At 37.2% G+C, this 27,683-nt stretch overlaps 2 annotated features.

The window, feature by feature from the left end:
* Positions 14,361–14,860: an enhancer, noted in NCBI's record as "H3K4me1 hESC enhancer chr1:79194279-79194778 (GRCh37/hg19 assembly coordinates)". NCBI's record gives its function as "activates a minimal SCP1, AML or CMV promoter by ChIP-STARR-seq in primed H9 embryonic stem cells {active_cell/tissue: H9 hESC(primed)}" and the evidence as "EXISTENCE:reporter gene assay evidence [ECO:0000049][PMID:30033119]".
* Positions 14,861–15,362: an enhancer, noted in NCBI's record as "H3K4me1 hESC enhancer chr1:79193777-79194278 (GRCh37/hg19 assembly coordinates)". NCBI's record gives its function as "activates a minimal SCP1, AML or CMV promoter by ChIP-STARR-seq in primed H9 embryonic stem cells {active_cell/tissue: H9 hESC(primed)}" and the evidence as "EXISTENCE:reporter gene assay evidence [ECO:0000049][PMID:30033119]".

Genomic DNA, 27,683 nt, shown 5'->3' with positions numbered 1-27,683 from the left:
GTTCTAAAGTAAAATGATTTTCACTTCACTGAAACACGTCAATCAGAAAGCTTATTTCAAAAAAGGGAACTATCTTAGTTAAGTAAGAAAATGCTCCATTTCATTTTGATTGTTTACTGGCTATAATAACATTCACAAGTCTTACATATCTGCTATCTTTTTCCTACCCAAGGAGCTGCTACTTTGTAAGGTGTGGAGAATGGGTATTTTTATTCCATTATATGGATTAGAAAACTAAAACTGGGAATCACTTGTTATGTCACAAAGAAAAATTGGTAGAATTTCAGTAAGAACTATAGTCTCCTGATTTTTCATCCAAGACAATTTTATTTATCCATACAGTGTCATTGATTGAGTGCCTGTTATGTACCAAGTATTATTCTGGGTCCTATGAATAACACTGTCCTGCCTTTTATCCTATTGTTAACTATATATAAATGTATCAATGAGCAGTATATATATAAATATAAATGTTACATATGTAAATTAAAATATATTACTGGAAGACAAAACAGTTCAAATGAAACTGAAACTACTAGTATTATCATCCCATTTTCACTGTTATTTGTTGTTATTATTGATTCAGTTTACCAGGATAGTTATTTCCATTTTAATTACCCTAAACAATAAGCTCCAGAAGTACAGGAATTATTATCTTTTTCTTCATTATTTCAACTTCTAGCAAAATGTCTAGCAAATAGTGGGCATTTAGAAAATGTATTTGGAGAAATGTATTTGAGGAAAATTAAGTAGTAGCTTCGCTTTTCTCCCGGACACTTGTTCACTGTACTCCAAATCAATCAGCCCCACTTAAAGTGCAGTTACAGAACAGGTCAAAGTCGTCACTGGCGTCATCCTTCCATCTCCAGCATCCTACTCAGCTCCTTCAGATTATTTTCTTCCTCAGGCCTCTACACTGGGGCCTATGCTTCCAGGAGTCTTTTCATAGGCTAAATCTTAAATGACAGTAGTATTTATTGTACAGGAATATTTATATTGCATTTTATTGCGTGGCTATTGGAAAGTTCCAAGTTCAATGGAGTAAATCCTTAAAAGCTAGAATTTCAAATGGAAGCTGAGAATAAATGTCTAACAAAAGGACACATTCTTCCCCACCCCCACCAATCAATTAAAGTCACAAATTACAAGATACTGTCTCTCAATTAATGTGACTTTTTTCCTCTGCTGAATATTTGTGTAGGTTAAGTCATCTGCAAATTAATGCTGCACTAACCCTAAATATTTCTTTAAAAAAGGAAAAACTATTTTAAATGAAAAAATATTCCTTTTAAAAAACACTTCTTTTTATTATCTATCAAGGTGTCTGAATAATGTCTTTAATGCACAGCTTACCCTAACTACACAGATTTTGTTTTCTTGCAGAAGAGAAAGCCATTAAATATGACTCAGATACTAGAAAAGATTACTTCGTATTACTGGGAAAAACTGATGTTGAAGACCAGTGAAGTCTAATGCACATGGGCAATTACACTGGAGAGTTTACAAAGCACATGGGAGTTGTTTTAATCGGAAACCAGAATGAATAAATTAATGGACTCTTGGTCTACTAATTTTTTTTAAAAAAAGGGAAACAAAATATAAAGCTACACATTCTTTTTCCTTTTTTAATGGAGTAACATTTTAATTTTTTATTTGAACTCCAACTTTTGTTTTAGATTTAGGGATACATGTGCAGGTTTGTTATATGGGTATATTGCGTGATGCTGAGGTTTGGAATATGAATGATGATCCCATCATCCAGGTAATGAGCATAGTAAGCAACAGTTAGTTTTTGATGTCCTTAAACATAAAGACCTACCAAATTTGCTTTGAATGAAATACCCTCACTTCAGCATATGTAAAGGATTTTTTTTGTTTTTTTTTTGTTTTTTGGTTTTTTGTTTGTTTGTTTGTTTTTGAGACGGAGTTTCGCTCTGTCTCCCAGGCTGGAGTGCAGTGGCGTGATCTCGGCTCACTCTAACATCCGCCTCCTGGGTTCATTCTCCTGCCTCAGCCTCCAGAGTAGCTGGGACTACAGGCGCCCACTGCCACACCTGGCTAATTTTTTGTATTTTTAGTAGAGACGGGGTTTCACTCTGTTAGCCAGGATGGTCTCAATTATAAAGGATTTTTGAGGCAGATAAGTCAGGGAAAATCATAGATTCATAATTCTGTTGCACTGTGTGGAGATTTTATTTGGAAACAGCCAAATAATGGGCTGCATTTCCCATTCTCCTTGGCAGATTACTGTAACCACGTGACTGGTACTTAATGAAGGTGTTGGCAGAAGTGGGGAGTAACACTTCCCAGGTAAACTGATAAAGAAGCAAATGAGCCTTCTCCACCTTCTCCTTGCCTCTCCATGAACAAAATTCAAAAGAAAATCCATGGATCTAAAGAAGGCAAGGGCCCCAAAGTGGAAGGAGGTTGGGTCCTTATTATAGAAGGCTACCTGCCAATCAAGAACATCCCATTTGGAATTTATGTGAGAGAAATCAACACTGATTTTACTAAGTAATTGTATTAGTGCATTTTCATGCTGCTGATAAATACATACCCAAGACAACTGGGCAATTTACAAAAGAAAGAGGTTTAATGGACTTACAGTTCCATGTGGCTGGAGAAGCCTCACTATCAGGGTGGAAGGCAAGGAGGAGCAGGTCACATCTTACATGAATGGCAGCAGGCAAAAAGAGAGTTTGTGCAGGGAAACTCCCATTTTTAAAACTGTCAGATCTCCTAAGACTTATTCACTATAACGAGAACAGCACGGGAAAGACTTGCCCTAATGATTCAATTACCTCCTCGCCAGGTTCCTCCCACAACATATAAGAATTGTGGGAGTTACAATTCAGGATAAGATTTGGGTGGGGACACAGTCAAACCATATCATTCAACCCCTGACCCTTCCCAAATCTCATGTCCTCACATTTCAGAACAAATCATGCCTTCCCAACAGTCCCCCAAAGTCTTAACTCATTTCAGCATTAACTCAAAAGTTTACAGTCCTAATTCTCATCTGAGACAAGGCAAGTCTCTTCCACCCGTGAGCCTGTAAAATCAAAAGCAAGCTAGTTATTTCCTAGATAAGATGGGAGTACAGGCATTGGATAAATACAGCCATTCCAAATGGGAGAAATTGGTCAAAACAAAGGGGCTACAGGCCCCATGCAAGTCCAAAATCCAGTGGGACCGCCAAATCTTAAAGCTCCAAAATGATCTCCTTTGACTCCATGTCTCACATCCAGGTCACACTGATGCAAGAGGTGTGTTCCCATGGGCTTGGGCAGCTCCACCTCTGTGGCTGTACAGGTTACAACCTCCCTCCCAGCTGCTTACATGGGCCGGCATTGAGTGTCTGTGACTTTTCTAGGCACACAATGTAAGCTGGGGTCTGGAGGACAGACCATTCTGGGGTCTGGAGGACAGTGGCCCTCTTCTCACAGCTCCATTAGTTAGTGCCTCAGTAGGGACTCTGCATGGGCCATGCAACCCCACATTTCCCTTCCGCACTTCCCTAGCAGAGATTCTCCATGAAAGCCCTGCCCTTACAGCAAACTTCTGCCTGGACACCCAGGCATTTCCATACATCCTTTGAAATCTAGGCAGAGGTTCCCAAACCTCAATTCTTGACTTCTGTGTACCCACAGACTCAACACCACATGGAAGCTGCCAAGACTTGGGGCTTGCACCCTCTGAAGCAACAGCCCTAGCTATACCTTGGCCCCTTTTAGTCATGGCTGGAGCAGCTGGGACATAGGGCATCAAGTTTCTAGACTGCATACAGCAGAGGGACCCTGGGCTCAGCCCATGAAACCATTTTTTCCTCCTAAATCTCTGGGCCTGTGATGGGAGGGGTTGCCATGAAGCCCTCTGACATGCCCTGGAGACATTTTCCCCATAGTTTTGAGGATTAACATTCAGCTCCTCGTTACTTATGCGAATTTCTGCAGCCAGCTTGAATTTCTCCTCAGAAAATGGGATTTTCTTTTCTATTGCATTGTCAGCCTGCATATTTTCCAAACTTTTATGCTCTGCTTCCCTTATAAAACTGAATGTTGTTAACAGCACCCAAGTCACCTCTTGAATGCTTTGCTGCTTCGAAATTTCTTCCTCCATTGGCCAGGTCCCTAATCCCAGAACTTTGGGAGGCCGAAGTGGGAGGATCACCAGGTCAGGAGTTCAAGACAAGCCTGGCCAACATGATGAAACCCTGTCTCTACCAAAAATGCAAAAATTAGCTGGGCATGGTGGTATGCACCTGTAATCCCAGCTATTAGGGAAGCTGAGGCAGGAGAGTTACTTGAACCCGGGAGGCAGAGGTTGCAATGAGCCAAGATCATGCCACTGTACTCCAGCCTAGGCAACAGAGCAAGACTTCATCTCAGAAAAGAAAAAAAGAAAAGAAAGAAAGAAATTTCTTCCTCCAGATACCCTAAATCATCTCTCTCAAGTTCAAAGTTCCACAGATCTCTAGGCTGGGGCAGAATGCCACCAGTCTCTTTGCTAAAACATAGCAAGAGCCACATATTCTCCAATTCCTAACAAGTTCCTTATTTCCGTCTGAGACCACTTCAGCCTGGACTTTACTGTCCATATTGCTATCAGCATCTTGGGCAAAGTCATTCAACAAGCCTCTAGGAAGTTCCAAACTTTTCTACATTTTTCTGTCTTCTTCTGAGCCTTCCAAACTGTTCCAACCTCTACCTGTTACCCAGTTCCAAAGTTGCTTCCACATTTTCAGGTATCTTTTCAGCAGTGCCCCACTCCCAGTACCAATTTATTGTATTAGTCTGTTTTCATGCTGCTGATAAAGACATACCTAAGACTGAGCAATTTACAAAAGAAAGAGGTTTAATGGACTTATAGTTCCACGTTGCTGGGGAAGCCTCACAATCATGGTGGAAGGAAAGGAAGAGCAAGTCACATCTTACATGGATGGTAGCAGGCAAAGAGAGAGAGAGCTTGTGCAGGGAAACCTGTTTCTAAAACCATCAGATCTCCTGAGACTTATTCACTATCATGAGAAAAGCAGAGGAAAACCCACCCCTATGATTCAATTACCTCCCACCAGGTTCCTCTCACGAAACATGGTAATTGTGGTAGTTACAATTCAAGATGAGATTTGGGTGGGGACACAGCCAAACCATACTAGTAGTTAAAATTTTCTAGTTGATCAATTTCTGGAGTTAGCATTATCTTAAGTAATAAAATTCTCCAATATAAAACAAAATTGAGAAAGATATTCATTGGTTAAACATGGAAACAGGTATGGTATCAGATAAGGTCTGTATACGCACGTATTTTTTTTATCAGTCTTGTCCTTTGCAACAGTAATAATACTTAGTCTGGTGTTTCAATATTTAAATACCAGGAGATGTTGTGAGCAAATACATGAGTGGAATTCTCCTGGGAATCAAATATGTAGCAGCCTGAATAGCAGTTCCAGGATATCAAACCTAGCATCCAAGTTTTAAGGGGTCTTGTCCAGTAAATTTTTAGTTTCTTAGTTTCCACAGGAGTATCCATTGGTTCCACAGAGTCAAATCCAAGCCATAGATTTTTCTTTCTGGAGTTCCTGAGAAAGGTGTCAAACACACTGACCATCTTTAAAAGTGAAGATGAGCTTCATTTTAACTAGATCTTTCACTTTGGCTTCCAAAGTCAGCTATGCTTCAAACGTGGCATCTCTACAGAACATTACAAGGGTAGCAACAGCTTTAGTTGCTAAGAATATCCTGCCACAAATGGATAATAAAAATGAGGCTAATGTAAACAATGTGGGCCAAAAGATACATGTACTTAAAAATCTTTAAAATGAATTCAAAGTGAGTACATTATCTTCTTATTCATTTGGTTTTAGCCAATGTTGAAGAAATAATTAAAATGTGCTTACTGAATCTCTGTAAGTGAATCTTAATTAATGGGAAAATGCTCTGCGCCAAACAATGATGTGAACCTCCTGAGAAATTCTGTAATTTTATAAACTATGAAAACAAAGCAATGGTTGTTTACCACTCCCTATGCTGTGTACATTCTTGTTTGATTACACTAGTTCATAAACAAAGAATTAAAGAACAGAGAGATATGTCAGCTTTCTCAACCCTTGTAAACAACTCTTAGACAAATGAAGGGCAAACTCAGTGGTAAGAAAATAACTCCATGTAATGTAACTATAGGGTTTCTTTTATATTTTTTGAATGCTCTTTTTTCCTGTTCTTAAAGCAATTTTATCAAGGATCCTGACAAAGAGATATGTCTCCTTGGACAATTTGCTTGGAGCACCTAAAATGTTTAGTGCACCACTAGAAGAAAAAGTTCTGTTAAGATATTATCCTGATAAAGAACCAAGTCAACTGATTTTGCCTATTGTAAACATCAGAAATAGAATAATGAATTCAATCAATTATAATTTCTTGAAGGAACACTCCTACATTGGTATTTCAGAAATAATACAAGGATTCACTAAAAATGACTAAATTCAAAGTAAAAATTAAAAACTGTATTCAGTTCTCTTAAGATTTAGCTTAGAAATTCTTATGTATACAAGTTTCAAATAATATTTTTCTGGAACTAGTTTATAGAATATGGTACAAAGTGAAGTCTCAGACTTTAATTTGAGGGAGTTGCAGAAGGAGGGTTGTTTTGATTGTGCATCTTCTTCTGGCATTCACCCTGTCTGCCTTGAAGAGTTTCTTCCCTCTATAATTGCTTTAATTAGTAGTTATAGAGAATTCTTTCCCTCTATCCATGATAGTTCAAAGACTAGGTAAAATCGTTTTCTGATGCACTGTATGACCTGAATGGTCAGCAGCATGATTAGACATCAGTCCTCACAATGTGAAATCTCCTTCAGGGTTTCTCTTCTTCTTCCAGACCTCCAAAGTCAGCATGTCTATTCACAGTTTCCAGACCTCTTCTGTCTCACTGCCTCCCCTGATCACATCAGTCACAAGGAGCTAAATACTATCAATAGGCAGGTGACTCCTACATTTATAACCCCAGTCCCAACCTTCCCCCAGAATTCCAAATACAAATAGCCAATACCTACTTGGCATCTCCACTCTTATGTTGACTGAACTTCCCAAACTTGGCGTGGTCAGCATAAGACTTTTGCTGTCCACTGGAAACAACAAAAGAGCCTCGCCCACTGATATGGTTTGGATGTTTGTCTTCTCCAAATCTCACGTTGAAATGTAATCCTCAATGTTGGAGGTAAGGCCTGGTAGGGGATATTTGGGTCATTGGGGTGGATTCCTCATGAATGGTTTGGTGCCATCCTCATGATAATGAGGAGTTCTTGCTCTGAGTTCACGTTCAGGCAAGATCTGGCTGTTTAAAAGAGTGTGGCACCTCCCCACTCTCTCTCTCTTGCTCCCCCTCTCACCATGTGATGTGTGTGCTCCTGCTTCATTTTCTGCCTGGGCCTCAGGAAATACCTTCAAGCGTGCCAGGAAGCAAATCAGATATTAATGCCATGCTTTTACAGCCTGCAGAACTGTGATCCAATTAAACCCCTTTGCTTTATAAATTACCTAGTCTTAGGTATTCCTTTATAGTAACACAAGAATGGCCTAATACATCCATGGTCTTCCTTATCTCAGTTAATGGCACCACTGTTCCTCTTTCTCTTTTCACACTGTATAAGACTTTTTTGACTCTACTTGAAAATATTTTCTAAATCAGCATTAATTCTTATTGCACCCATGATTACCACCAGAGTCCAAGCAACATACTTTCCCCTGGAGTATTAAAAGATCCTCCCACCATTCTCCTTGCTGTCACTGTGTCCTGCAGCTTACTCTCTAGTCTTTACACATTAGCCACTGCACTCCAGCTATTCTTGCCTTTGGCTGGTCCTCAAACACACAAAACAAGCTCTTTTTCTACATCTCTATTACTGGGGGGTCTCCTATGCATGAAATATGCTTGTCCCAAATATTCACATCACTGACTCCTTCACTTTGCCCACAGCTGCCCAAATGTCACCTCTTTGGGGTTGTCTTTGGTCATGCCTCCAAACTAGATATCACTCTCTTCCCCATTACTCTGCTTTTTAGATAGGATATAACCTGAAGTTCTATTGTTGAATTTTACTTATTTATTATTTGTGACCCTCACTAGAATACAGGAACTTTGTCTTTCATCACTCTATCTGTAATACCTAGAATGGTGTGCAGCACATAAAAGACATTCAGTGTTTATTGAATGAATGAATGAATTAATTAATTAATGGTGCCATCCTCCTGATAATAAGGAGTTCTTGTTCTGAGTTCACATTTATGCAAGATGTAATTGTCTGCTGAGATCTTAGGGACTTCACATGGCGAAAACAGAAACTGCCCCTGACTCAAATTGTGTGTGTGTTGTTTTGTGGAGTGTGTGTGTGTGTGTGTGTGTGTGTGTGTGTGTGTGTAAACTGATATAGTTTTGTCTCTAAGGAGCTATTGCCCTGGGAGCTCAGATCATGTATCGCAAATAGTGACCATATTATTTTTCATACCAGGGAAGAGAGAATTCCCTCCCCTCTGCTATAACACAAGTCTCCAGAAAAACTTTGGACCAGCAATGTTCATTCAGGCTACTTTCTTGATGTAGAAACTGGAATGTGCGGCCGGGCACGGTGGCTCACGCCTGCAATCCCAGCACTTTGGGAGGCCGAGGCAGGTGGATCACAAGGTCAGGAAATCGAGATCATCCTGGCTAACACGGTGAAACCTCATCTCTACTAAAAATACAAAAAAAATTAGTCAAGCGTGGTGGTGGGCTCCTGTAGTCCCAGCTACTCGGGAGGCTGAGGCAGAAGAATGGCATGAACCCAGGAGGTGGAGCTTGTGATGAGCCGAGATCGCATCACTGCACTCCAGCCTGGATGACAGAGTGAGACTCCATCTCAAAAAAAAAAAAAAAGAAAGAAACTGGAATGTGCACCTTGAACATACTTTTTTTTAAACGTGAAGTTACTGCTTTTTTGTTTTTTAAGTAAGTTAATGAAACAGGAACAACCTTAGTGAAATGCATTTTCTGCAGTAAACAATGGAAAGGCGCTATTAACCTAACACAGCAGGAAATATATTGACCACAGTTAGAAATTTATTCTCCAAGAATGCCATACACAGAGTTTGCTTACTGGTGCTAGCATCCTTTTATAAAAGTAAAGAGAGAGAAGAAAAAAAGGAAAACAAAAAAAGACACATTTTGATTGTTAATGCATTTTCTGCAAAGATAGCAGAATGAAAATGTACAAAAGTGTTCAACTGTGACTATACAGTGTGTATTATTTTACGTACTATAGCTCCTAAATATCCTTGTCCTTTTTAGATGTTTCAGAGTGTGTAAAGGGAGTAAAATATTCAATTATTTTTTAATGTCTCAAAATCACTCTCAGTAAAATGAAATCAATGCAATTGCCAAGAACCTTCTTTATAGGATCAGCTATATTAACTCAAGATATGTCTCCCTCCCTCAGGTAACTTTAGCTTGAACATTGTTTACTAGGCTTAACCCTTGGTGGAGATTGAATCCCATGCTTTCAAGAATAAATATGAAATGTATAATTTTATCTGTAAGCAACAGAGTTGTTTCAAGTTAGCAAAATAGATTGCTAGAAGATTATGTATTCGGTCTACTACATGATATCCAGAATTTCACATCCTCCAATCTTACCTTAATGTACAGGTAAGGTGATACAGACCTGTAGGAGACCAATGAGTGCTGACATGTTCCAGTAGTCTCACACATCTACCTGGAAGCAGTAGTGCAGAACAGAGCTGTGCTCGACTTTTCATAAAATTCACTGTAAACTGCTTTTACAATAGCTAAATTATAGCCAAAATATTGTTCATGGTCAGGCTTGGTGCAAGCAGGCACTGGATGGTTGGCCTAAGAAGAATTCATACTTTTGGCGTTTTTTCCAGATGTAACTAGTGCAGCAGGAGATATCTCACTTCCAAGTATGAAAGCTGTGTTCTCAACATGCTTGGCAGAGGAACTCAGGCTCTGGATTGCTAAGGGTCCTTAGTGGTCCTTAAGAACTGCACACTATTCAGATTATTACTACTACCTTGCCATGTAGATCTTAATGGACTCCTGGGCTACATATTCATTAGCAAAGTATAGTACAGAAGTTATTTAGATTGCACAATGTAAAGGCCAATTTTGCATTAGTTCTTCACTTTACGTGTTTAATATCGCCTTGAGGAAAAATTCTCTGTCGGGACGTGGGGAGAAATTGAAATAAGCACATTCCCTATTTATCAGTTGCACAAAAGACCTTCTCAATAAAGTTAGATTAGCAGCTAGGGTGACCTTCACGTGATAGAGAAAAATGTATGTATATTTTTAGGAGGGCTTTTTGTAGAACTGCCTTAATGCTAAATAAAGCATATTCACATAAAGGCAAGCAGTGGCAACTTCCTGTTAATTGAAAGATTTGTTAACTTATCTTTTAAAAGAAAATAATCTTAACTGCTATATGATATTAAGCCAAAAGTTTCTGGCGGTGTTTGCAGATTTTGACTTAATGGTTTAATTCGAGGTGAAAATTGCACTGGGAGACATCCTGAGAGAAATAGTTATAGGTTTGTTCATTCTTTCCCCCAAACAGGAAATTGGTTTTCTGAGTCTACACTATTTTAACGGCAGCATAAATGCAGCTCACTACCCTGAATTCAGATGTAATACTCCATAATGAAATGGAAAAAAAAGTTAGTCACATGTCAGATTGGAGTGAGTAAAATAGACAAGTAATAACAATACCTAAATCCATCCCTGACTAATTAGTTGCTGAAAAAAAATTCTGCAGTTAAAAGAAAAAGTTGGATTTACAGGCCAAGTGAAAAGGCTACTTATAGAATCAAACCTTGATTTCTTCACTATATGTCTTTGGTAGGGCTTACAAAACACGTTAACACATTAGTGATACCTACTACTATTAGTTGTAAACTGGAAAGCTAAACGTTTTTAATGACGTCAAAGGCATTCACAGATGTCCCTGAAGTAGAGATATGTAAAACATTGCCTACACTTTGCAGAATCTCAAAAGTAATACAAGTTACAGTTTTTTCTATCGACAGATATGCTGGTAAATTTACATCTTTTTTATCACAATCACTCTGACTTGATTAACTTCTGCTTTTAACCACATTTTCAATAGGGATAATATTTTTTAAAGTAAGGCTAATCTGAGCCCTAACAGAGATATGCAATATAAGTGGATTAAAGAAGTCTATCCTTTCTCCCTAAATAAGAAGTGATTTGTCTACATCAATATTAACTCGGCAGCAGTTTTTCCTCCAATTGTTGACACAGAGGAATTGAAAGACAATAATTTTAAGGTCAGATACACCTAGGCTCAAATCCAGACTCCATCGCTTTCAGGCTGAATATTTGAGCAATTTACTTAACTTCTTTGGATCTCACCTTCAGTAACTATAAAACAGGTATAATATATGCTTTTATGGAAATAATAGACACTAGGGACTCCAAAAGTGGGGAGAGTGGAAGAGAAGTGAGGGTTGAAAATTACCCATTGAGCGCAATGTTCCCTATTAGAGCGATGGGTACACCGGACACTCAAACCTGACCGTTACGCAATACACCCATGGAACCCTGCACATGTACCTCCTGAATCTAATATTTAAAATAACAATGTATGCTTTTTAGGGGCATTGGGAGAATTGAGATGAATGTGTGTAACAGGTTGACTAGTATAGTTTGTGGTACATAAAAGGTATTCAATAAATATTATTTCTCATGTTCACACATATGTAGGTGATGTGGATTTATTTTTGTCTTAGAGCAAGGTAAACTAAAGTTGATAGCAATAAAGTGACTAGTGCAAAATCAGTGAGATATTTAGAGAGTCTACAATTCGATCTCCTAATTTATTAGATAATGCCTATATAGGGTACCAGAAAAGTTAGATATCATTGGAATAAAATTTTGGAGTCAGACTAAAATTCTAACCCAATGGATGGGCTTAGCAAGCCATTTAACCTCTCTGAGCCTCAGTTTCCTCATCTAGAAAATGGAGAAAACAGCTACCTCACTGTTACCATAAGAGAAATATTAGATGTGAGTAATATAGCAATATCTAGCATATACTCAGAGCTCAACATGATTATTATTAAATACTTATTGTATGTTGGGTACCACGACAAGTGCTCTAAGATACCCCAAAATGACAAATTCCTTGCCCTGGAAGAGTTATTTTGGCAAATAGCACAAAGAGTAATAATTACTGATACTCAGCACTGTTTAAATGAAAGAGATAGATGATAGATAGATAGGTAGATAGATAGATAGATAGATAGATACATAGATACATAGATAGATACATAGATACATAGATAGATACATAGATATATAGATGATAGATAGATGACAAACGAGTGAAAATGATAAATAAATAGATCATTTTATACTGAAATGGCAAAAAAAAAAAACCTCTTAGAAGAGATGGAACTAAAGTTGAGCAAGAGTAGGAGTAGATTCATCTTAACAAAACAGTAGTTACCTTTTCTCTTTTTCATATGGGAAAGTTTTAAAAGGATTTCGAATGTCAGAATTAGGATAGAGAAGCTACGTTCTCTATGGGTATTTTTTTAGGGAATATAGCTTTCTGGCTGAAGGCTGATGGACAAATATTCCACTCTGAATGTCAAAAAGATAAGCACAATAAAGCTTGCTTTATGTGCGCACACATGTGTGCACATGCTTGTCTGCATGTTTGCATGAGCTGGCTCACTTAACATCCAAAAATATGCACAGTTTTCTAAGTCAACGGAATGCGTGTATTTCTAGTTCCCTTTTCTGAAGCACAGCAGAAAGAGATTCTCACCAAGTTATTTTTCAGCAACATCTTCAGGGACAATTGATACACCCATTAAAAACGCTGGCAGTGTGTCTGGTTTGGTTACTTTTTTGATGTGCTTTCTAATGGTGCTGCTGCCTTTGGCAATAATTGTAATTCAATTTATGCATCCACAAAATTATCCAATCCTGTTGCCTATGCAGTGTCACAAAATAATTCTTCTCTTTAGAGTTAATCAGCCTTACATTGTATGTTTTCCATTACCTAGATTTCACCACATCTCTCAATAACTTGCAAGCTGAATAAGTTTGTATTAAAAAAGTAAACACATTATACATAAAGTGATCAACCTTAAACAGATAAGAGATGCCAATCATAAAAATGCTGACTTGACTCCATTATAAAATGTGTGTGTGCACATGTGTGTTTTATTCTAAACAGGATGTTTTTAATTTTGAGTTGCATAAACACAGCTTTTTGGTAACATTTAAAAATAATTTTATAATGTGCTTCATTTTCATACCAACTTTGAAATGCAGTTGAAATATTTTCTCAAGGCAAATGTATATATATATAATGACATTTTTGAATAGTTTTAAGATTGAAAAGCATAAATACGAAATAATTTTTTTCTAATCACTGCTTTTAGTAATATTCTGTATAATCTTCTTGTGCTTTGATGTTATTTTGGGCAATTCTATCACTTTCAGTATTTAAAAGTTTAATAGAGTTGAATTCCATCAGGGTTTCATGTGCTGCCAGCGAATTGCCACAGTACAGCCTTGAGCTGGGACCCTGACTCGTTGGCATAGTCAAGTAAAGGTAAGACATGATCTTCATCTGAATCATCTCTTCCTATCCCCCAACCCCGCCACTCCCCACTTTTAAGACCAACTCCTCCAAGGTTGGTTTAGAGAGAAGGGAGAAAAAAGAAACAAGTGTCTCTTCCCCTACCTGGACTGTCTTAATATTTCTTCATGCGTTTGGCTGCTTCAATGACATGAACTACCAGTTATCAATGCTCATTATGGGTCTGAACTCAAATCTTGGTTTTCCTGCTGCATAGAGCATTGCTACATGAAATGTGGTGCTTGGACTGGCAGCACTGACATCACCAGGAAGATTGTTAGACTCTCAGACTCCAACCCCCTGCTAAATCAGAATCTGAATTTTAACAAGATCTCTCAGGTGATCTGTATGCACATTAACATTTAAACTATTGTATTTAAAAGTAGTTTTTTATTTTCCTTCTCTCACAGACTGATGTATTTTTAAAGTAGAATAAGAACAAATAGTAAAATGAAATTAAAAAAAAAAAAAAAAAAAGATAGGCAAAGCACAAGCCAAAGTTTTATTATTTGTTTCAACAGACACCACAGTGGAGTAAGAAGTACCAGACTTGCCATCCCACCAGAAACATATGAAACCGTTATTTTCAAACATGAGACAACAAGCAACACAGGACTTTGATATACAGGATCAAAGTCCTCTTACGGACTTAGATCCCCAAAAGAAGCAAAACAAACAAGATCAGCCTTATTATCACCCAAGCTTTTTGCCACAAGGCATCGCACTGAGAAGGAGAACCCAAGCAGAGCAGAGCAGGCTCACAATATTGAGGAGGCAGAGACCAGAGTTCAGTGAGACTGAAGTGACTTGTGAGGCAGTGAATTAGAAAGGAGGCAGCTAAGAAGAGAAAGAACACGGTAAGTCTCCTTGAGTTTGTTGCTGAATTCTAATCTACGCAGCAAATTTGGCATGAAGTTAGAACTCCATGAAGCTGGGCAAAAACTACCAGGGTCGTATAAGCTGAGCAAACCCAAAGTTCACACAAGGCTGGGAGACATTTGAATTCCAACCAGTTAAAGTGGAGAGATCATTTATAGATAATTTCCAAATTAACATAGCAGAAATTAAGAAAGGCAACTAAAATTCTAAAAGACAGGTTCCTATCTTTCTAGACCAGGAGTCATTTTGTTTCCCTGACCCCTTCGTGGGCAGGAACTGGAGTGCACAGGCGCTGGCAAGGGCGAACTCCACTCACTGGAAGCTGCCGCACTCAACCCCTAGTGGGAGGGAGCACGCAGGTGAGCGGGTGCGGGAGCCAGGGCAAGCACTTTTGGACACCGGCAGGAACAAATTCGGCAGCATTCGTGGGGGTGCCCATGACCCCGAAGCCCCAGAAAGAGAGTTGCAGTCAGTGCTCTTTTAGCTTTGCCATCCGCAGATGGCTTAGGTGTTAACAGCTCAGTGGAGGATCAGTGTGACAGCCTTTCCTACTCGCACGCGAGTAATTACTGGGCATCCAGGAGGAATGAGGTCACATGAACAAATTGGTGATGGTAAATGCAGAGGATTTTATTGCCAATGAAAGTGGCTGTCAGTGGGAAGGGGAGCTGAAAAGGTGATGGAGCGAGAAGGTAATCTTCCCCCAGAGTCCGGCATAGGATTCTTCAAAGCTCTGCCGTCAAGCCGTCCCTCTCAAGTCAAGCTGCTTCTCTCCAATGTCCAACCATAGTCTTTGACGTCCAGCTGCTTCTCCTCTTCTCCTCCCTCTGCCAGCGAAGCCTGGGGTTTTTATGGGCACAGGATGGGGGGCAGGGCAGGCCATGGGTGATTTTGGATAAGGCAACATTCAAGAGGGAAAACAGGAATGTTTGTTCCACTTTGGGCCGTGGTTCCAGTCTTGAGGGTGGGGCCCTCGCTGGGCATCTGTTGTCTTCTGTCCAGAATTATCCTGCCTCTTGTCCCTATCAAAATCATTTAGTTCAAACAGTTAGAGAAAATAGTTACCAACCAGACAAATTGTATTGGAATTTATATTAGAAAAAACTTGAGGCAGAAAAAGAATATATGGCTTTTGAGTATATTGTTTTCTATTAACCAAAAATTTTATCTAGAAACTTGGAAAATTGTATTTCTGGACAGTGAAATAGGTGTGGAAGAGATCATTTACTTCATATATAAGTATCACCAGGTGTTGCTTGTAATTATCTTTCTTCTTCTGGATAATGGCTTTTTAAGTGACCTAGGTGGGACTAGGAACCAGGGAAACTCAGCCAAGTGTAATCTCTAATTACCTACAAGGATGGTGAAAAACCTGCATAGGTGTACCATGGCCAATAAGTTTGAGATCTAGACATTTCCAATTCAAGTATGTCTGCTTTACCCACCTGAAAGTGCTCTGTAAGTTAAAACTTTAAATACAAAAATCACTTTGAAAGTAACAAAACAACTCCATTAGTAAAGTGAATTCAGATACACATTTGGTAAAAAGATCTCTTAACATGGAACTAGAAAATCTGGATTTAAGTTTCAAATATGTCGGTTTATAATTATTTGTTTTAAGACAAGTAAATGAGCTGTATTTTCTTGAAATTCCTATGTTGTAAAATAAAATAATGAATAATGTACTTAATGTGAGAGTGGTTTGTTAAGTATAAAATGTGATGAGAGTGTTATATGAACATATATGTATTTTAAAATAAATAAGCCCTTACATACCACTTAATATGTACTGAGAACTAGTCTACGCATTTGTCTTTAAATAAATATGAATTCAATTAAGTCTCATTTTACAGATAGGGACATTGAGTCACAAATGACTTACATAAAGTCACACAGAATTAATAAATGGAAGAGCTGGGATTAAAATCCAAAAAGCCTATCTCTAGGGTCTATGGTAACCCAAGTTTTGCATGGTTTATGAGAGCTGAAAAGATAAGTTCTGTTGGCAAGTTTCTGGATCTTAGGAAATCCTTTTTTGAGTCATTGTTTTGCTTCAGTATGGCCTTAGAATGCCTTTAGTGTACTAGTGAGGGATCAGGGAAAAAGGAAAATACATAGAGACCAGACCTTTGAGTAAACTTATTATTAACTCTGTTTAAAAGGGAAAAAAGGTGATATTTCAAAGGATTGTTTGGCAACCATGCAGTCCATCGATTATAATAGATTGGTAATTTTCAAAGCTTGTCCTACAGATCATTTTTCGCTGTGATGATGTCCTCCTGCAGAGCCATAGATTAATTCAAAAATGCAAGTCCATTTTCTTATTCTTAATAGTGAAAGACATACAATTCCAAAGATTCATTTTTTTATATGATTAAAGAAACTTCCCAGTAAATATGTTACTTCTAAATTTGGTATTTACATACCAAATTAAGTATGGCATTAAAATTTTCTGAACATTGTTATTTTAAGAGTTCAGTAAGAAATTCAAGTAAGCTCTTAATGTGCCTACATATGTGCACATACTTAGAAACCCACAACCCCACTAGGACAGGGCAAGATGTGTAGGCTGCAGGGTCTTTTGCCTCATTTAATCGTGTGCCACGACCAATAAGTTTGAGATCTAGACATTTTCAAACTGAAATATGTAAAAATTGTCCAAGGAGTGATTTGTACAGAAAGACTTAAAGAAATTCATTTCCAGATCTTTAACTTCTATATATAATGTTCCTCTCTCAAATGATTTGCCTGAGAGTTTTTTTGTCCAAAGTTTTTCTTCTTATCTCCTCTTTCACACTTGTCTTTCCCCATTTTACATAAAACAGTATATCCATCACTTATCTTAAAATAATTGGAAAAAGCCCTTACGTATCTCATTTGAGATGTATTTTACTTTTTATGCTTAATAATAGTTCATCAACATTTGAACCTCTACATATATGCTTTTGATTCATTATCTATTAATAATTATAGAATCGATTTGCAGAAAGTTTCAACATTTAAAGCTTTTGGTTAAAAGAATTTTAAAAACAAATGCAATTATTTTATGTAATTTTTGTTGCAGAGGAGTATATTTGAGTGGTCATTAAGAAATTTTAGGAATAAAATTTGCATTACAATTAATTTCTGTGAGAGAAGTAAAATAGAATTACAATTTCAGTGATTAATAAAAGCTATGTAAAATTTTCATCAAAAAGGAGCTTATATTTGCCGGGCACAGTGGCTCATGCCTGTGATCCCAGCATCTCGGGAGGCTGAGGTGGGCGGATCAGCTGAGGTCAGGAGTTCCAGACCTGCCTGACCAATATAGCAAAATTCCACCTCTACTAAAAATACAAAAATTGGCCAGGCATGGAGCAGGCGCCTGTAATCTTAGCTACTCAGGAGGCTGAGACAGGAGAATCACTTGAACCCAGGAGGCAGAGGTTGTAGTGAGGTGAGATCACCCCAGCGCCACTGCACTCCAGCCTGGGCGACAGAACAAGACTCCATCCCCCACCCCCCCACCCCCAAAAAAGGAGCTTATATTGGTTGTATATTTGGGTGATGTGTCTCATATTCTTGTGCTGGATAGTGTAATAATTAATTTTATGATCAACTTGACTGGGCTATGGGATGCCCAGATCGCTGGTAAAAAATTATTTCTGCATGCATCTGTACCAGTGTTTGCAGAAGAAAGTAGCATTTGAATCCATAAACTGAGTAAAGAATATCTGCCCTCACCAGTGCAACATCCAGGCTGCTGAGGACCTGAATAGAACAAAATTGTGGGGCAAGGGTGAATTCTTCCTTTCTTGTTGAGCTGGGACATCTACTTTTTTCTTGCCTTCAGACATCAGAGCTCTTGCTTCTTGGACCTTTAGACTTCCGGACCTATACTAGCACTCCTTCCACACCCACACTCTGGTTCTCAGGTCTTTGGGCTTTGACCTTGTCTCAATCTTTTGGTTCTGTAATAACAAAATACCTGAGTGAGTAAATTATGATAGAAACTTATTTTTCACAGTTCTAGAGGCTAAGAAGTCCAAGATCAAGGTGTCTGGTGAGGGCCTGTTCTCTGCTTCCGACATGACGCCTGGTTGTTGCATCTTCACATGGCAAAAAGCTGATGGCCAAAAGGGGCCTAACTAGTTCCCTCCAGCCCTTTTATAAGAGAACTAATCCATTATGAACATGGGGCCTTCATGACCTAATCACCTCCCGAAGATCACACCTCTCAATAATGTTGCATTGGAGATTAAGTTTCAACATGAATTTCAGAGGAGACACAAACATTCAAACCATAGTAGACTGGTATTTACACCATCAGCTCCCCTGGTTCTCAGGGCTTCAGCTCAGACTGAATTACACCACTAGCTTTCCTGGTTCTCCAGTCTGCAGACAGCAGATTGTGGAACTTCTTGGCTTACATAACCACATGAACCAATTCCCATAGTATGTCTTCTCTTATTTATACATACTTATATATGTATATAATATTATATGTAAGTTATTATATATAATAAATATATATATTTATCTTATCTTATTGGTTTTGTTTCCCTGGAGAACTGGGACAAAAATGGTACATTCCACTGAATACATGTAAAAGGATAATTTAAGATTTATTTTTAATTGCCAACATTCACTGTATACCAGAAATTACAATGTTTGTAACAATTCAAAATTATGATGGAAAAATCAACTCAAATTCCACCTAAAGATAAGCAAGAAGGTACTTTTTTATTTCAAAATTATTTTAGATTCAAGACTACTGATCTAGGGACTATCCTTTGCTCATGCTTGACCATAAGATGATTGTACTCGCAGATCATATTTTTATGGTAGAATTGCCTTCACTTAATTTCATTTTAGCATTCTCTCAGCTTTTATAGGAAGTAATTAAAGGAAATAGGCATAAAGAATCCATCACCACATACGAATGCTATTAAAGGTAGTACATACAGCATCCCAAAATGCCTTCCAAACAAAGTCCCACATGAAAAATTTCTTTTGAAATTCTGTTCTAGGAAAAGATCTGGTTCCCTTGAGTATTTGATGAGCTTCTTCATTTCTTATCGTAAGAGAAAAGAAATGATCACCATGGCTCAAAGGTAGTCTGAAACTAAATCTAAGGCTACATCAAAGTAAGTTTTTCAGTCTTAACTGACTGCACAAATTTTGCTGCAGTCCCATCAATTTATTCTTACTTATAACTCCTTGGTTCTGAGTTTTTATTCTTAATTCAATTGTCCATTATTTTATGATATGCGTTTTTTAACCCTCCCCCAATTTTTTTGTGGAGGCAACTTAAATATCAAATGTTCTCTGTATTTACATATCACTTGCTCCTCAGCATGTTCTCATTGTATATTGGGTAGATAAAATTACCAAAGATAATGACTCGCAGTGTCAAGGAGACATCACTAGCAATATTCCCAGCAATTCTTTATTTTAACCAGCTTCTTAAGTGAGCATGCGCTGGGTATCAATTTCTTCTTCTTATAAGCCCAGCGATAAATTCAGCCCTTGACTTCTGAACACAGTTAACTGGTCATGTAGTTTTCATAAAACAAAATTTTGATTAGATTCAACAGCGTCATAGTTTGACCTTTGTAAAGGGTAATGCATTAATTCAAAGGAAGTGGAGTGATATGTGTGCCTTACTTTGAGCCTAAGAAATGTATTTTTTCATCATGAGACATTTCAAATCCCATAATTATTCCCTTATGTTAAATTCCTTCAACTCTTCGTGCCATAATATTCTGCCTTGCGTATATAGCTGCCTTCAGATAATTTTTCTGTGGTCTTCTGGTATGTAAGTTATCTCCTCAACTGGTATGTATCCTCATAACCAAATACATTCTTCATTTTAGACTACAAGTGACAAACTGTTTTTCTTGGTTTCAAGACATTCATGATTAATTTACAAATAGGAAACTTGTGGAGTATCTTCATCTAAAAACATAAGGAGTTTAATTTTGTAACAGTACATCAACTTAAAGCTCCTAGCCAAGAGATAAGACATTGATACTTCTTTTCAAAAACAGCACTAATATTTTCTTCTAGCAAATCTGATCTAATTTTATAATCCCCTTCCTTGAGAATTTTGTTTCAAATGAGTGATTCCTTCTGACCAATTATTGAAGAAGGAATCATCCCAGCAGCATCTTGATGAGTAAGAAAAAATTCTCCTTGCCCACAGATGGCACTTCTGGCTCCACCTCCATCCTACGGTCTTCCCATCCCACCTCCACTCCAGGCACTTGTTGCCTAGCCTGTCCCCATCTCTCTTTTACTTCCAAGCATCTGGCATTTTTTAGTTACCTGCCTCTCCCATCTCAACCATGTTTCCTTCACTCAGTAAATAAATACTGAGTAGCTATATGTACTAAACACTAAGTTGAGTTTCTAGGAATGCAGAGATTTTGGTGTCAAACAAGCTAGAGTAAATGCCTTCAAGGAGGCTTGTAATCTGAAATATGATAGGGACAGACAGAATGTCAGGGAACATGAGAGAGGTTTCTATGAGGAATTTAGTCTGTTCCCCATAGCTCTTCCCACTGGGTTCTTCTCTAAGTCCTGTTTAATACTGTACATCATCAAATCCCAGGCCTCATACTTTTACTTCCATCCCATTATTTGAATAAATTCTATTAGCATACACACCCACATCACATACGCATGCATGTAACACAGATTTTGTAAAGAGAACTATACATCTATTTTCTTGGTGGGGATGTTAGACTTGACACACGTTGGCCACACAGAAATATCTGACTTAAACAAGTAACTTAATTAATTGCATTGATTGTAAGTACCTTTGGAAACAGAAGTGCTCATTTGTTCGTAAATAGTTCCTAACTTAGGGGACCGTTGGATCTATGTGAGTATAGTAAGAGAGGACACAGGTAGGTCCTTGAGATGTATGCAGTAAGCAATAAGGTGGACAAAATTTCATTCACCAAAATTCCTCTTAAGAAGAGCATTAAATTTTGAAGGAAACTAATAAGCATTTAAATGTTTTAAATAAATGTGTTTATTTAAATAAATATAATTTGTAGTGTGCCACCAAAGAAATGATCATGCAATAAAAAGTGATTATTAAACTGCCTCCTAGGAGGGTGGGTCTGGGTAACCAGTGGAATTGTATGTGTCATTGACCACTGCGTGGAGACTTGAGCAGCTAAATTTAATCTCAGGAGGTGAATAAAGCTGAATTGCTGTGCATAACAAAAGAGGAAGAAAATTGACTCTCCAAAAGTAATTTCGATAAAAAGTGTTTATTTAAAAATAGCAAAACCAGAAGTCTGCATGGATGCCAGGCAAGAAAAGGGCAACATAGATTGCTCTCTGCCTAAATCCCCAACCCATTATCATTCCCATTAGTTGACTTGGCAAAGGAAGGAGTTTGGAAAGAATGAGCATTTAAAATCATTTAATTTGTTGTGATGCATTTAAATTCACCAACACCTGAGCTCTCCTACAAAAGTTTGAGTTAATTCTCGGTTGAAAATTAATGTTTGTGAATAAGTTGGTTCTTTAAGAAGATGCAAGAGGTGCTCACTTTCACAATGACTCATATTGTACTCAAGAGCCAGTGGATAGGAGAACAGCTGACCTTTAGTACAAAAATATCAAAACTCAGATGAACTGGTACTCTACCTACGTTCTATCCTTATCCTTAAAGGAAATAATTTGGTTTGACTAGAAAGTTAAAAATTCACCTTGGCAACCTTGTTATTTCATGTCGTTCAGATGGTCTGATCTGCAGGTATCTACACACACACACACTTTTGTCTGTAATGTGTCTCTACTTGAATCTTCTTTGTCCCTTGCTCAAAATGTCCTTCATCTGGTTCCTGAGACCATGCAAAGCATATGGCAAGGTTGTTAAATATTTCCATTGGATTCTTTTGTAATTATTGTTTAAATTCTCTCATCAGCCTACTAGTCCTTTAGTTCCTTAAACGGTAGACCCACAACTTTCCCATATTTTATCATGAGAGCATGTCAATTTTAGGAACTTATGCATTTGTGAAAGATTAAAATGTAAATAAAAGGAACAATATATGAACACCAACTAGGTTTAAACCAGAAGACCTAGTGTACCTATTTACTGATCCATCATAAACATTAAGCTAGTTTAAGGACGGTTTAAAAATATATCTGTGCATGACCATAAATTTACATCTATTATAAAAGTTTCAAAATTCACAATAGGAACAATAACATATAATATTAGAAATGCAAATCAACTATACTGTACTATTCAAAAACTAGAGACTGTTGTTTTTCACTAGTTAACTAAAACCCTTTGTTCATTTTTTTTTTGGAATGAATGATCATAAGGATTAATTTCTGCTGTATACCATTTGGCCTTTAACTGGACCATTTCTTGACAATTGTAGAGTGCATTTATCAAGCATATTGATTTTATTCAGAGTCCTGACTATAAAATTAGACTCTCTACTTCAGAGGCATTTATAAAATGTTTCTAGATAATAAAAGTATAATTACAGCTATCTAGTTTGTTGGAAATAATACTATCAACTAAACTGCTTCTTCTGTTCCTGAAAATAAAAAATATATTTTGCATCATTAAATTACCGTTTAACTTTGGATATCATGCTGATATTGATAAGTAATTCTGAATATGAAAGTGGATTGTCTTTATTGTCTTCTACCAAAAAGGAACTTGAAACTAGTTAATTAAGCCACATATGACTACAATTTGTAAGGTAGTAAGATTTCTTAGAATATTATAGGCTTCTCCATTTTTAAATAATTTTCTCTTGAAAATGAAAGTTCACTATCAAAATATCATAGTTTACTTTCAAGTGTGTTGTAATATATTAATGCTGTGTAATGCAATATTTAATGCTGTAAAACTCAGAAATTTTATTTCCTTAGGACACATAAGCTTCACATTAATATGCTGGAGTTAATGTGCAATAAAAGGACAGTAACTTCCCCTGTCTACCTGAGTTATAATACCAGATAACATTCACTGAAAATTTTAATGTACCTGAGGCTTCTTTTATGCTTTGAATATGTCTATTCTTACTGGTATTGTTCATCTGTGTTTGTTCATAAACATCAAAAGAAAAATAACTAAAATTTTTGATTACATTGAATATTAGCCAACTGCTAAATCTCAAAAAAAATAAAGAAAAAAAAACAAGTAGGACTCAGCTATATGTTTAAACTGGGAAAAGATGTGTTAGCCCAGTGGTTTTTAACAAGGAGTGATTATGACAATGATCCATAATCCTTTTAAAAATACAGAGGACTGCATGGACCTTATAAAATTTAAATACTGTTATTCTGATGTGAACCGACAGTTAACAATCACTGTTCTAGGCAGAGATAATGGCAAATGCTAAAATAGAGAGTTTGAAATAAATGAATGAAGAAGGGGAATATGAATATATAAAAATATTCAGAAAATACTCTTCATATTTTACTCATACATATCAACTACTGAGAAATAGAGTGATATCTTAATAAACAATACTTTAAATTTTAATTATTCCTGATTTTAATGTTATCCTATGTATTCTTAATCCTTGTGCAAATGAGTTTCATCATTTATTCCTTCCCAAATATTTCTTAACCTTCCATTTCATGCCAAGAATACGTTAGATGCTAGGAATACAAAGAAAAAATGAGAAGAGGCTCCTATCTCAACAGGAGACATACTTTTCACTCAAAAAACATGAAGAACATCATTTTAACTTTCAACTTTTTACTTGCATATGCCTAAAAACACTTTATCCAAAGTCTGTGTAGTTTTGAAACTTTTATTGTATTTTCCTTAACAAATGTTCATTCATGCCACAGTAATCATTTATTCCCATTACCTCTGCTTCCTAATCTCTGCCACTCCTTTCCTAACTTCCCAGCACCAATTAATAGCTCGCTTTTCATTCTAGTTTTGTCTTTGATCTTGACGTTTCACTTGTCTCATCTTTTGTCCTCTTTCTGGCCATAATGCCAGGATATTTATTATATCTCACCTTACATAATGCCTTAGCTGGCAAAGAAACTAACCTCCTCCTTGTATTGGTGATGGTAATGGTATCCATTATTGTTCTTCTATTGGTATGTGAATGTGTTTATGTGTTTTGGTTGGAAATTTAGCCTGTTAAGGGCCTAAAAGATGAGTCATCAAGGAAAACCTGAAGAAGTGAAGAAGCTGAGCTCTAAGAGAAGTTCCCGTTCATTCAGCACAAGATGTTAGTAAGTCTGAGACCAGACCAGGAGCAGGACAAAAGTAAAAATTTCTTGCTAAACGAGGTAACAGATGTAACTGCTCCAGCACCAGCACAGTGCCTATGCAGGCTAATAAATATTCATTAAGTAAGTGTCCAACGTTTATTTACAAATGGGTTACTCTATGGAAAGTTCTGATAACAGTGCCTGGCACAAGGTAAACGACCAATAAATGTTAGCTGAAAGGGAAAAGGGAGGGAGGATGTAGGAAGGGAGACAGGGGAAACTGAACATCACTGAAGGAAAAGTAAAGAATGAAATTTACTTGGTAGAGAGCTTAACTTCTATTCAGTGCTCCAAAATCGAATACTTTAGTCCCTTCTCATCACCTTCACTGTATGAAATCAAAGCCCTGCCATCTTAGAAAACAATTCCATTTCAAGGTCTAGTTGGATTTTATGCCCCACCCATAGGAAATGATCAGAATACATTTCTTTCATCTACATTCAATTTTTCCCTGAAAAATAATAAAACATATTTTTCTTTTTTTTAAATTTCCACTAAGGTTCTATTCCCTAGCCATGTTTGATAGTCTCTTATGGATTAGATCTGTGATCCCCCTGGCCTGTTTGACATAGTGTGGACATTTGCCCCCTCTGAATCTCATGTTGAAATGTGATCCTGAACGTTGGAGGTGGGGCCTAGTCGGAGGTGTTTTGGTCATGGGGGCAGATCTGTCATGAATGGCTTGGGGCTCTCTGTGGTAATGAGTGAGTTCTCTACTATATTAGTTCACAGGAGAACTGGTTGTTTAAAGAGCCTGGCACCTCCTCCCCTCTCTCTTGCTCCCTCACTCTCCGTGTAACATGCCTGTTCCTCCTTCTCCTTCTGCCAGTATTGAAAGCTTCCTGAGGCCCTTGCCTGAAGCAGATGCTGGCTCCATGTTTCTTGTACAAACTGCAGAACGGTAAGCCAAATAAACCTCTTTTATAAATTACCCAGTGTCAGGTATTCCTTTATAGCAAAGTGAAATGTACTAATACACTGCTCATTAACTCTTCTTTCATTTATTCATTCATCCCTTCACTCAGTTACTCTGTCTGAGAAACCAAGTACATAAAAAGTTAAGTGATTTGCCTAGGTTGCAGAGTTTGAAGTTTGGTAGAGGCACAAATAAACCTAACTCTCTGCCATCATGCAAGTATTCTTGCACTTCCATTATTATTTCTTAAAATTCAAATTGAAGAACATTTAATTCTTTTATTTAAAATGTGGAAAGTCAGTTAAACAGGAATATTCTAAAATTTGCAAAAACTAACAATCTATAGATAGGCAGCCTTTAAAAATTCTTTTCTGATTTTACTACAGTCAGTGTCAGGGGACTCTTCCATTATAAGCTGGCACACTAATCTGTATGACTAGCATATAAATTCAACAAACACTTCTCTTTTTTATTCATTTTATTCTTTTATCTACTTTTGAGACAGATTCTTACTCTGTCATCCAGGCTGGAGTGAAGCAGTTTGATTATGACTCCCTGTAGCCTTGACCTCCCCTGTTCAAGTGATCCTCCCACTTGAGCCTCTCAAGTAGCTGGAACCACAAGCACACACCATCATGTCTAGCTAATTTTTTATTTTTTGTAGAGATGAGGTCTCTCCCTATGTTGCACAAGCTGGTCTCAAACTCCTGGGCTCAAGTGATCCCCCGACCTCAGCCTCCCAAAATGCTGGGATTACAGAAATGAGCTACCAAACATTACTTTTAAATACAGTTTGACAAATGCCATTCTATATCCTACAATTGTGCTGAAGATTATTTTTCTGGCCAGAGGCACTATCCGTAGAGTACAATTTGACCTGTGTTAAAGCCCAAGGGTATAATAACAATGCATACTATCACTGCACTATGATATATTTTTAAGGATTGGATGAGAACTTGATTAATAATATAGCAGGAAATGATTTCAAAGTTTGCCATCAAATTGTCATGTTCTTCAGATATTTATTATATTTCATGTTCTTATATAATATGTTCTGTAGATAATAATAAAATAGAATATGAATGCTTTTATTCCATTTTATCCATTCTTCTAAAAGCTAAAATTTATCAAAAGTTAAAATTTGAAGGTTTTAATAAAATGTAAATGATCTTGCATCTCCCTAGAAACATAAAATGAGAAATTCACATTGGCTAGTATCCAAAATTGTCTTGTGAAAATAAAATTATTATTCACTTAAGCTTTTACTGCTTTTCCATTTCTAGAATAAAAGGAGGAATCTGTGGAATTCTAAGAATCCTTGTATGATCTCCAAGTAAAATAATAACATGAGGTTGAGAATTATAACAGATTGTATTTTTCCAAAGATTGCTCATTCATATGTGGCCCTGCTTGCCATGTAATGTCATGCTCCTCCACTGAGAAGTGGGATCTCTGTGTCTTCTGCTTTATCTTGCATGAACTTTTGTAACTGCCTCCATCAACAGAGTATAATGTTTAAATGCTGTACAGAGCTAAACTGATGTTATGTGTAATACTGTACAGAATTTAAATGATGTGATAACAGTCAAGGCAAAGCTACAAAATACAATTCAGCTTCCATCTGTTTCTTGAAATACAACTTTGAAGTTCTGAACCACTTTGTAAGAAGTCTAGCTATAATGAAGTTTTGGTGCAGCAGAGACCACTTTGAGATAGAAATGCCCAGGGATCTCCAGTTGTTCTAGCTCTCAGCCATTTGAGTCAAACCTCTAGACAGGTAAGTCAGAAGTTTTCAGAAGATTCTTGCCCTCAACCATGAACTCCCTCAGCCATGATGAGTGAAAAAGAAATAAAATATCCTCACAGAGCCCTCTCCATAATGCCAGTTTTTGTGATGTAAGCAAAATACATGATGTTTTAAATCACTAAGCTTTAGGTTTGTGGTGCAGTCACAGCAACTGAAAC

The sequence above is a fragment of the Homo sapiens genome, chromosome 1 (assembly GCF_000001405.40).
Source record: "Homo sapiens chromosome 1, GRCh38.p14 Primary Assembly".
Taxonomy (NCBI): Eukaryota; Metazoa; Chordata; class Mammalia; order Primates; family Hominidae; genus Homo; species Homo sapiens.
The sequence above is the reverse complement of the archived record's forward strand: the minus strand, read 5'-3'. Positions and strand labels throughout refer to the sequence as shown.